Source organism: Homo sapiens, chromosome 6 (genome assembly GCF_000001405.40).
Source record: "Homo sapiens chromosome 6, GRCh38.p14 Primary Assembly".
In the NCBI taxonomy this organism is placed as follows: domain Eukaryota; kingdom Metazoa; phylum Chordata; class Mammalia; order Primates; family Hominidae; genus Homo; species Homo sapiens.
Genome location: NC_000006.12, coordinates 65,851,430 through 65,864,069, shown reverse-complemented (window position 1 = coordinate 65,864,069; position 12,640 = coordinate 65,851,430). Strand labels below are relative to the sequence as shown.

Here is a 12,640-nt window from a genome sequence, read left to right as displayed (position 1 = left end):
TCTCTGATAAAACAGGCTTTAAACCAACAAAGATCAAAAGAGACATAGAAGGCCATTACATAGCAGTAAAGGGATCAATTCAACAAGAAGAGCTAACTATCCTAAATATATATGCACCTAATACAGGAGCACCTAGATTCATAAAGCAAGTCCTTAGAGACCTACAAAGAGACTTAGACTCCCACACAATAACAATGGGAGACTTTAACACCCCACTGTCAATATTGGACAGATCAATGAGACAAAAGATTAAAAAGGCTATCCAGGACTTGAACTGAGCTCTGCACCAACCAGTCCTAACAGACATCTTCAGAACTCTCCACTCCAAATCAACAGAATATACATTCTTCTCAGCACCACGTCGCACTTATTCCAAAATTGACCACATAGTTGGAAGTAAAGCACTCCTCATCAAATGTAAAAGAACAGAAATCACAACAAACTATCTCAGAGCACAGTGCAATCAAATTAGAACTCAGGATTAAGAAACTCTCTCAAAACCGCACAACTACATGGAAACTGAACAACCTGCTCCTGAATGACTACTGGGTAAATAACGAAATGAAGGCAGAAATAAAGACGTTCTTTGAAACCAATAAGAACAAAGACACAACATTCCAGAATCTCTGGGACACATTTAAAGCAGTGTGTAGAGGGAAATTTATAGCACTAAATGCCCACAAGAGAAAGCAGGAAAGACCTAAAATAGACACCCTAACATCACAATTAAAAGAACTAGAGAAGCAAGAGCAAACAAATTCAAAAGCTAGCACAAGGCAAGAAATAATGAAGATGAGAGCAGAACTGAAGGAGATAGAGACACAAAAAACCCTTCAAAAAATCAATGAATCCAGGAGGTAGTTTTTTGAAAAGATCAACAAAATTGATAGACCTCTAGCAAGACTAATAAAGAAGAAAAGAGAGAAGAGTCAAATATATGCAATAAAAAAATGATAAAGGGGATATCACCACCGATCCCACAGAAATACAAACTACCATCAGAGAATACTATAAACACCTCTATGCAAATCTAGAAGAAATGGATAAATTCCTGGATACATACACCATCCCAAGATTAAACCAGGAAGAAGTTGAATCCCTGAATAGACCAATAACAGGTTCTGAAATTGAGGCAATAATTACTAGCCTACCAACCAAAAAAAGTCCAGGACCAGATGGATTCACAGCTGAATTCTACCAGAGGTAGGTAATCATTTTCTTCAAAGACAAAGGACACAGGAGGCATCGTCTCATCCTTTTCACAGTTAATTGGCATGTGTAGTCCTTGCACAAATCCAATTATTGTGGGTTAGATGTACTTCCTTAAACTTGTGCCCCTTTAGTTAAGCAAATTAACAAATCCTCCAGCACTTGATATGCTGTTGCTGAATTGAAAAACGTGTTATTTCCAATTTCCATCATTAAAGAGGATCAAAAACCCATTCACTTTTAGGCGCAAAGTACTACAGTACAAATTCACCATCTTTGCTTTATGGCTATGGTGACTCTCCTATTCTCAGAAATGACATAGTCCCAGGAGCCTTAATTAAGTTATTATTCCTTAGACTTCCACACTGGTCTTATATTATTAATATCATGCTAACTAATCCTGAAGAATAGGAAGTAGATTAGTATTCTGAATGCCCTTGGAACTATGTGCCTTCTGTGGCGTTGAAGATAAGCCTTCAATGACAAACCACTGAGGATAGCCCTAATAATCAGCAACCCTGCTCTCTGGTTACTTTGAGCAATTTGATAACCAGTAAACACCATAACGAATAGAGTCTTTGATCCCAATTATTTTCAAGAGAAGTTTTCTGCAACAGAATGGAGTAAAAGAGTAGTATACATACGTGTTAAACTCAGAGGACTCATCTTTTGCTTCATGGCCTGTAATAACCTTGTTTAGGTATTTTCAGCAACCATACCTGGCAGCAAGGACAATGAAACCAATAGCCCAGATCTTTCAGATATGGCAGTCTGGGCCACTCCACAAGGTTAGCATTCTAGATCAGCTGAAGTATTCACTGAAAGTAAAGGAAAGCTAGTAAGGATAGTAAAAGAGGGAGATGATAAGACAGCTTCTATAGAAGACTAATTTGTTACAACAGCCTTCTTAAATAAGTATTTTATTGAGATTGTACCTGACCACTATTTTGAAATATTCTAAAGAGGAGATTTAATTTGGGGCACCAGAATATGTGAGTAATTAATGGGATGGATTTTGATTGACGTTTTCTGCTGCCCAATATCACATCCTTTTGACCACCAAATTAACTTTGACCTTTAATGCATTGAAAAGTTCCATGTTAACATGACCTGAAGTTGGTGGTATCTCACCTCCATTGTTCTGTACATATTTCAGATTTCTGCCACAGGACTGTCTCAGAAGCAGTGGGAGTCCACTAAGCGTGAAGGCATAAGAAGTCTGTCACATGTGGGAAAGTAGATTCTCCCTGGGGCAATCTTCAAAAAATGTGGATGAAAGCTGATGGATAAATGATCCATTCTATCTTTTCAACAGACAACTACAGGAACCATTCGTTATGTTTCCCTGAGTTCCTAATGGAGTAGAACTTGTACTTGCCACTGGAGTAAGGTCAATAGAGTTTTCTCATTTTGGCCTTTTTGCCTTTATCTCACTCCTTGCTCCTGGTCCCTGGCAGTTCCTTCCAAACATACTGCGTGCATCTAAGCATTTGTCTTAAGCTTTTCCTAAGCTTGGTTAACCCCAAAACTAAGACAGCTGGTATTAACGTATAATTATTAGTTACATTATACATTTATATATCGTACATTTCCCTGGAAGTGAGTTTCATTTCATAATTTTAAAAAGATTTTTTATTACTGTGTAATAGGAATTCATTGGAATGACTTAATAAATGTCATGGAATGATTGATTTGTATTTTAAAACATACAGCTTGGCTGCTGTGTGAAGAATAAATTAAATGAGGAAAGAGTGGAATGCCGGAGACCAGTGAGTGTTCCTGAAGTTGTGAAGATGAGAAGTGAAGTTGATGCCCGTAAATATAGTGACTGTGGAGACAAAGAGGAATCAGTGGATTTCTGATATAATTTGTAGTTAAATTTTTATGATGTAGTGGTGGGTTTAATGTCACTATAAGCAAAATAGGTGGCTTTTTGAAATAAACCTAACACCCATCTTTCATTCAAAACCATTCTTTAAAATTACTCTAAAATATTCATTATGGGTTAAAAATGCTGTTACTTAATAATGGTTAAGAAGAAAAGAAAAACATTCAAGAAATAGTAAAAGAACTATTCTAAAATAAAATCAGATAGACTTTAAAAGACTTTACTAGATAACTGAGAAAAAATGGTAAAAGAAATGGTAAAAGAAATAATAAAACCATGAATTTTTATTTTTTATTTTTTTGGAGGAAGGAGAGAATGATGTCCAAGAGCAATTATTTTCAATAATTGGTGCTTTCAAGTACAAAGCAAGCCATAGACACAAAAAAATTTAAGAAGTAGCAAACAAAGATAAAGATACCAAAAATGTTTTTAAATGTTCGAATTCAGTTCAAAGATGTGAAGTCTGGTAAAAGTTCAAATTTGAAAGTTTCATCACATAAAAAGTTATTTTCTGAAATAAAATACTTTTTAATTAAATTTAGAATATTGGACTAACAAGAAACACTGCTATAGTTAGTTAATTTTAATTAATATATTTTAATTTACTCATTCATAAACATAGACATTGAACAATAGCTTATATAAAATCATAATAATGATAATAATGAGAGCTAGCATTAATTGAATACTTACTATATGCTAAGACTTTCCTTTTTTTTTTTTTTTTTTTTTTTTTTGAGACAGAGTCTTGCTCTGTCCCCCAGGCTGGAGTACAGTGGCAGGTGATCTCAGCTCACTACAACCACCGCCTCCCGGGTTCAAGCAATTCTCCTGCCTCTGCCTCCTGAGTAGCTGGGATTACAGGTGCATGCCACCACACCTGGCTAATTTTTGTATTTTTAGTAGAGATGGGGTTTGACCAAATTGGTCAGTCTGGTTATCTTTTAACAAGCATTAGCTGAATTTTTCCCTCAACTATTCTAATGAGATACGTATTATTATTATTGTTTTATAGAAGTAGAAACCAAATAAGAGTAAGGTTAAGCCACTTCTGAGGGCTACAAAGCAAAAAGTGCCAGAGGTAAGTTTTAAAACCAAGAATGGTATATTCACAGTTCGTATTTTTAATAAAGCCAAAATAACCATGACTTGACTGTAATTTTAATTGTTTTAATGATCTTATAATTATTACAGAAAATTATTTTATTTTTTCAATTATCAGATTTATACTTGTTCACATTTGTACATAACTAAAATTATAATATGCATTAAAATAGATGTATATATTTAATTTAGCCTTTCTTTTCTTGAAGAGCTATAATTAAATGTGTAGTAAATCTTACATTACATGACATTTTGTAATCATGACCAGATGGAAATCTATATTTTCTTGTTTTAGTAATAAATGGAACTAGTGATAGCTATATAGAAAATTTTTTTCAGATAATTTTGTTTAGTACCAACTGTAATTTTAATACTAATTTTAAAATGAAGTATTCTATTAAAATTTGGAAATTAAAAAAATCTTTATATAGATTTTCTCTTCATGTCATTGTGAACACATTGCTTGAAATTAGAAGGTATTATGTCTTAAATTAAAATTCAATCAAAACAGTAAACCCATTCATTTCAATTGATTAACCTCATTTCATTAACCAATAGCTCTATCCTCTTTCTCCTCTAATTTGTTTAATAAGACAGGTAAAAGATCCAGGTTGAGTTTCAGCAACTTTTACTTACTGATAAAAATTCACCTATAGGCTGGGCATTGTGGCTCACACCTGTAATCCCAGTGATCTGAGAGGCCAAGGTGGGTGAATTGCTTGAGCCCAGGAGTTGGAGACCAGCCTGGCCAACATGGCAAAACCGACCTCTACTAAAAATACAAAATTTAGCAGTGTATGGTGTCTCATGCCTGTAGTCCCAGATACTTCTGAGGCTGAGACGGGAGAATTTCTTGAGCCCAGGAGGCAGAGGTTGCAGTGAACCCAGATGGCACCATTGCATTCCTGCTTGTGTGACAGAGTGAGATCCTATCTCAAAAATAATAATAATAATCTATATAATAAAGCAGCTCCTGCTTTATCAATGTTTTGAAACTTTTTTCTCTCTGTAAGCTCTTCCAAAAGAGGTCTCAAGATATCAATTTGCTTGTGACTCATTTCCTGGTAAAATGGCCCATAGGATGTAGGTAACATAATCAAAATTCCACTGAGTTTTCTAAATTATTGCATTGGGAAAGTGAGGTGGCTGCTTAAAATTAATCTAATCATAAACAGTAAACATTTTTACAGAGAGTGGATTGATGCAGGAGAAAGACTCCACACAGAAGTCTCAGGTATCAATGTAGATGTCTTGGCTCTGCTCCCACAAGTTTCATCTGAAAAATAATAATAATAACTCTTGTTCATATTATGTGCTGATATGGTTTGGCTGTGTCCCCACCTAAATCTCATCTTGAATTGTAGCTCCCATAATTCCTTGTATCATGGGAGGAACCTGATGGGAGGTAATTTAATCATGGGGGTGGGTCTTTCCCATGTTGTTCTCATGGTAGTGAATAATTTTCATGAGATCTGATGGTTTTATAAACAGAAATTCCCTTGCACAAGCTCTCTCTTTGCCCACTGCAATGTAAGAAGTCCCTTTTCTCTTCCTTCATCTTCTACCATGATTGTGAGGACTCCCCAGCCACATGGAACTGTGAGTCCATTAAACCTCTTTCCTTTATAAATTACCCAGTCTAAGGTATGTCTTTATTAGCAGTGTAAGAACAGACTAATAAAGTGAATTGGTACAAGGTAGTGGGGCACTGCTATATAGATACCTGAAAATGTGGAAGCGACTTTGGAAGTGCGTAACAGGCAGAGGTTGAAATAGTTTGTAAGCCTCAGAAGAAAACAGGAAAATGTGAAAAAGTTTGGAACTTCCTAGAGACTTGTTGAATGGCTTTGACCAAGTGCTGCTTATCTCAGATTGGAGATGAGGAACTTGTTGGGAACTGGAGTAAAGGTGACTCTTGGTATATTTTAGCAGAAAGACTTGTGGCACTTTGGCCCTGCCCTAGAGATCTGTGGAACTTTGAACTGGAGAGAAATGATTTAGGATATCTGTTGGAAGAAATTTCTAAGCAGCAAGTTGCTCAAGAGGAAGCAGAGCCTAAAAATTTTGGAAAATTTGGAGCCTGATGATGCAATAGAAAAGAAAAACCCATTTTGTGGGTAGAAATTCAAGCTGGCTGCAGAAAATTGCATAAATAACGAGAAACCAAATGTTAATTGCCAAGACAATGCAGAAAATATCTCCAGGGCATGTCAGAGACCTTTGTGGCAACCCCTCCCATCACAGGCCAGGAGATCTAGGAAGAAAAAATGGTCTCATGGGCCAGTCCCAGGGTCCTCTACTGTGTGCAGCCTAGGGACTTGGTGTCCTGAGTCCCAGCTGCTCTAGCCATGACTAAAAGGGACCAAGGTACAACTTGGGCCATGGCTTCAGAGGGAGTAAGCCCCAAGCTTTGGCAGCTTCTATGTAGTGTTGAGCTTGCAGGTGTGCAGGAGTCAAGAATTCAGGTTTGGGTACCTCCACCTAGAGTTCAGAAGATGTATGAAAACACCTAGATGTCCAGGCAGAAGTTTGCTGTAGGCATGGGGACCTCATGGAGGGCCTCTGCCAGGGCAGTGTGGAAGAGAAATGTGGGCTGGGTGCCCCCAGACAGAGTCCCCATTGGGACACTGCCTAGTGGAGCTGTGAGAAGAGGGCCACCATCCTCCAGACTTCAGAATCATAGATCCACTGACAGCTTGCACCATGCGCCTGGGGACAGCTTCCACCATGCACCTGGAAAAACCACAGACACTCAATGTCAGCCTGAGAAAGCAGCCAGGAGGTGGGCTGTACCCTGCAAAGCCAGAGGGGTGGAGCTACCCAAAACCATGGGAAACCACCTCTTGCAGCAAGGTGACCTGGAGGTGAGAAATTAAGTCAAAGGAGTTCATTTGGGAGTTTTAAGATTTGGCTGCCCTGCTGGATTTTGGACTTACATGATGCCTGTAGCCCCTTCATTGTGGCCAATTTCTCCCACTTGGAATGGGTGTATTTACCCAATATTTGTACCCCCATTGTGTCTAGAAAGTGACTAACTTGCTTTAGATTTTACAGGCTCTAAGCAGAAAGGACTTACCTATTCTCAGATGAGACTTTAGACTGTGAACTTCTAAGTTAATGCTGAAATGAGTTAAGAACTTGGGGGACTGTTGGGAAGGCATGACTGGTTTTAAAATGTGAGAACATGAGATTTGGGATTGGCCGGGGTGGAATAATATGGTTTGACTGTGTCCCCATCCAAATCTCATCTTGAATTGTAGCTCTCATAATTCCCATGTGTCATGGGAGTGACCCGGTGGGAGGTAATTGAATCTTGGGGGATGGTCTTTTCTATGCTGTCCTTGTGGTAGTGAATAAGTCTCAGAAGATCTGATGGTTTTATAAACTGGAGTTCCCTTGTATAAACTGTCTTTGCCCACTGCCATGTAAGAAGTCCCTTTTCTCTTCCATTATCTTCCACCATGATTGTGAGGCCTCTCCAGCTACATAAAACTGTGAGTTTATTAAACTTCATTTCTTTCTGAATTACCCAATCTTGGGTATGTCTTTATTAGCAGCATGAGAACAGATTAATACATGTACTTTGAAAACTAATATATTGTGTCAGTAATTTTAATAGAATTTAGGGATCGATAAATTAAAATTGCTGCATACTATAAAAATGTAAGGTAACATGATTACTAATCTCATCCTTCAACATAATCATTATTTCATATTGTGTTTACTAAGTTAAATGCAAACAACAAACAACTGATATACTTTAACTGCATAGATTTTATTTCTGCATTAACCTCAATTTCATATTTATCTAGAAAAAAAAAGCAGGGCACTAACAAGTGCTTCTTTGATTAGCTGTCCTCACTCAAATGATTATTTACATTATATTTGTAACATATGTAAATGAATATAATGTAAAATATATATTTTAATATAATATAAACATATATAACATATACATACATATACATGTTTATATATAAAAATATGATTTAGATAGATACAATTCTGAAAGTAAAATTTATAAATTTAATATAAATATTAGAATTTTTATATTTTATATAAATATAAAAGTAAATATATAAATATAAAAATAACTATATAAACGTATATTTTAAATAACATAAGATAAATATATATATAATTATTTACAAATTCAAATAGTCCAGAAGATTATACATGCATTCAGTGTTTAGTTATCTCTTATCTTGTTAACTCTTAACACTTAACTCTGTTAACTTGACTGTTAAGAGTCAACTCTTAACTTGTACATTATTTATACTCATGCATTTCTAGCTTTGTTTACCATGGCCGTTACCTGCAAGGAGTCTTAAAATCTCTTAGTGTCTGTATCCCAGGCTATAGCAAGGTAGTTCTACCGAGTTTTACCATCATAACTCTCAATCTTTCCCTCTCTGCGTAACAAAGGATTAGGAAACTCTACACTTGAAACTTTGCTAACACAAATGCACATCTCTGGCAGAATGCTACTGAAAAGATTATTCTTTGTGTCATCTTCCTTACTCTAAGAGCACAAATACACAAATGGTTGATTTTAATATACTTATTTCTTTACTTTCAATTTCTCCCAGCTAAATCCACAGTTGACAGACATATATTTACTTCTACTCAGGAAATAACATATAATATTTGATAACTGTTGTCTCAGCTACAGGGACCAAGAAATGAACAAATTAAAAGGTTGGGGTAGTGTGGACGCAGTTAGCACTGAAAGAAGAATTTTTTTAAGAAGTTTAAGAATGTAGCATATTCAAGGATTTGAATAATCTGGCATTCGCATGCTTATGACTAAAGAAAAAGAATTAGTTACTGATCTTTAATACCTATGATTACTGCTATTAAAAATAATTCATGGAGCCTTACATTAAAAATTCTCTATGAAAATGCCTCAAATTATTTTACCAATGTTATAGCTTATTACTTTTCATTTCATGTTCTTGCCATAATGAGTTATTTTCTTTACAGTTACCCTACACTTTACTGTTTGCCTTTGCCAATCTGTCCTTACTGAGAAAAATGCCCCTGTCTTCCTATGACTTCTGAACATGCAAACCCTGTCTGCTTCTCAAGGGGTCTTCAATGCTCTCTCATGGGCAGAGTGTTTCTGAATCCCTGGGATGGAACTGAGCTCTCCTCTGACTCCCCAAGTCACTTTAGCTGTGTCTCAGTTTTGAGCTTATATTTTTGTGTCTATTATGCATGCACTTAAATAATATCTGGTCTTATGTGCTAATTCCTAATTTACACTCTATATATTCCTACTATGCTCTCCAAGAGAGTATCTTTACTCTCTATAGTGCCATGCCTGGTGCTTTACATGATTATTGACAGGGTGGACATATGAAAAAGGGATTCAGTTAAATTTGCTGCATAATGTCATATTTAACTGTAGCATTCAATAAATATGGTATAATAATCATGGCTAAAATGTATAAGGAAAATTTCAAGTGAAATTTTCATTTCAAAATTGCTGTACTATTTCCTAATCTTAATAGTGAGCTTCTCACAACAAGGTTAAATATCCTTTACTTCATGTGGTATGACATAAATTGCTATGATTCTCCCATAGAAAATTTTTGCTCTTATCATTTAAAAATATGTTTCAAAAATTAAATGTTGGAGAAGAAGCATTTGTACTACATAATTTCTAAATATGTTCAGTAAACATCAAAACAACATTTCAGAGTTGTATTCAAATGTTGTTCATTATTTCCTTTTTGTATAACATTTTAAATATTTATTTAATATTAAAATCATTTTAATATGAAAGTTAAATATGAAAAGAATCATGTTATATGTACTGAACCTGGATCTTCAGGCTCAGATATGGAGCAAATTGGGATGCAGAAACACATAGATAGGAAAGAAAAAGGTGGTAATGGAACTCAATTTGTAAAAATACTAAAACTTTGGTGTGTACGTTGCGGGAGGGGAAAACCAGCAGACCTAGTGTCAGTGGTGAAACAGAACTATCATGTTCAATAGAAAACATCTTCAAGAATAAATTTCAGCACAATGGTAGTCTTTTGTTTCTGGAAGCTCTCACATTGTTTGTACCATTTTTATCCATGTGGAGCAGAACTAGTCAGTGAAAAAGAGGATTGTATAGATTTAGTCAGTGTATCCGCACTCTAATAAAATGAGCTATAATTCAGAACTGCCACAGCTATGATTCAGATCTGAAATGAAGTTAGATTACTGGGGTGGAAGCCCAATTGTATTATCAAACTCAACTGGCTTTAGCTGGATGATGGAATTTAGAAGACATGAAACTATCTTTTCTTCTCAAATAAGATATTTGGACAAAACATTAACCCATTCTATCCTTTGATATCCTTTCAATGCAAGTTTAGCTTACACATTATTCTGGATATGTCAACACTGGATGCAGAGATTCGAGTTAAACTAGACTGAGGAAAACGGGCTCTTTCAATATACATCTACCAAGCTCTAGCATAATTCTATGGAGAGTTATATTTTCCTTTAGACCTCATTTTTAAACATTGTAATATTATTTTATTAATTTTTAAGCCAATGGGGTCTCATTCTGTTGCCCAGGCTGGAGTGTAAGGGAGTGATCATAGACCACTACCGCCTTAAACTCTTGTACTCAAGTGATCCTCTCACCTCAGCCTCCCTAGTAGCTAGAACTATAGGCAGGTGCCACCGTGCCTAGCTAATTATTTTTTGTTGTTGTTGTAGAAATGGGATCTCACTCTGTCGTCCAGGCTAGCCTCAAATTCCTGGCTTTAAGCCACCCTTCAGGCTTAAAGGCCTAGTCCTTATTTTTTTAATGCTGTACAAAAAAAAATGCTATCTTGTTATTTTATACATTAAAATTACCACTATGAGCTCTTTGTAAGAAATAATATATGACAATACATTATGTATTATATGTGAAGTAGACAGTACATTATATGTAAAATATGTATTAGATAAGTATTACTGTATTAATATGTAATATCAGATTATATTATTACATAATATATATTATAACATATATTGCTCTGTCCTTCAGTAGTCGTTTTATTTGTAAACTCTTTTCACATATACATTTTCTTTGCTATTCACAACTTCATTAGTACCACCAAAGGGCAATCACAGCTGCATCTCCCATAAGGCATCTAGTCAATGATTGATAAACATGGCTTCTATATTTCCATTATCTTTTCATGCTAACACATCAGGAAGGAGGCTGACATGGGGTGTTGACAGCTTGAGGAAAAAAGTACATTTCATAAGAAGGTATGGTGCTATGATTGAAAACAGAAATATCCTCATAATTCCTTCAGGTTTTCCCTATCAACACTGTCACTCCAATGAAAAGCGAGGGAATTGTGGTCACTCTGAGGAGCACAGAATAGACAGTATTTTAATTATGAGTAAACTAAAGCTTAAAAGTTTAAATCATTTGCTGAAGACTTTACATCATTTAGAGAGATGGCAAAATATTAAAAACTACACCTTTTTAAGGCTTTTCTATCAATCATTAAGTCAGAGAAGATGGAAGGCAATATTAAAGTACAAGATAGCATGGAATAACAAAAAGTCAAAAATGAGAAAAAGAGAATGCCGATGGCATAGGCGCAATTAAAATTTGATGAAGACAAACACACCAAATTTAATTTCAACATGTTACATATCTTTAGAACTCTAAGTAGTCTTAGAGATCAGCATGGTGCAGTAGAAAGCAATTTGATATGAATTTTAAAAACCTCAATTTAAATCCAAGGTGTTTTATTGCATTCGCAAACTATCTACATTTTACATGTGTTATTTTTCTTTTTTTTACCTTGGAAATAATAACTTGCAGGTGGTTGGGAAGATTTCATGACTCAATGTTTAACAAAGTGCCTGTCTCAGTGCTGATTTCACAAGAAGAGTACAGTAAAATATTAGATGGTGATAGTGATAATGATGATGGCAATGACAAAATTGATGGCAGTGACAACAGTGAATAAAAATAAATAACAGAAATCCAAATAGGGTAGGAGACATCTCTAAATACATGTGATTATTTGCTTTTTTGGTAATTAAGATTTTTTAAAATTTATATTTCAATTTTTACACATTGTTAAAATGACCCTTTGTTTCTGATTCAGTTTTATACGTTATATTTGGAAAATAGGACCACTTAAAGCCTTTAATTGGTTTAAATTGACCATAGTTTATAAACCTATGCCAACAGGGATTTTTAAAATTACATATTTTGTCTAAAGGTGTAATATATGTAGATTGGTGAGTTGGAAAGTGAATTACTCTTTGTCTATGAAAAAGATGGTGTCCTTCGCTGTAGTAGAGAAGAAAAGCAATGGTGAGTTTTGTGTTTCTGGTTGTTAATTATGCCTTCAGGGATGTAAAGGCACAGTTTTGTGTATGTATAAAATTGTAAATACTGTACATTTACTTCAGCTATTTTCT

General features: G+C 35.2%; 1 annotated feature.

Annotated features, from left to right (window-relative positions):
• Nucleotides 11,906-12,075: an enhancer, noted in NCBI's record as "experimental_93713 CRE fragment used in MPRA reporter constructs". NCBI's record gives its function as "activates a minimal promoter by MPRAs in K562 erythroleukemia cells, with activity observed for both the introgressed and non-introgressed 6:66561973 variant alleles {active_cell/tissue: K562}" and the evidence as "EXISTENCE:reporter gene assay evidence [ECO:0000049][PMID:34662402]".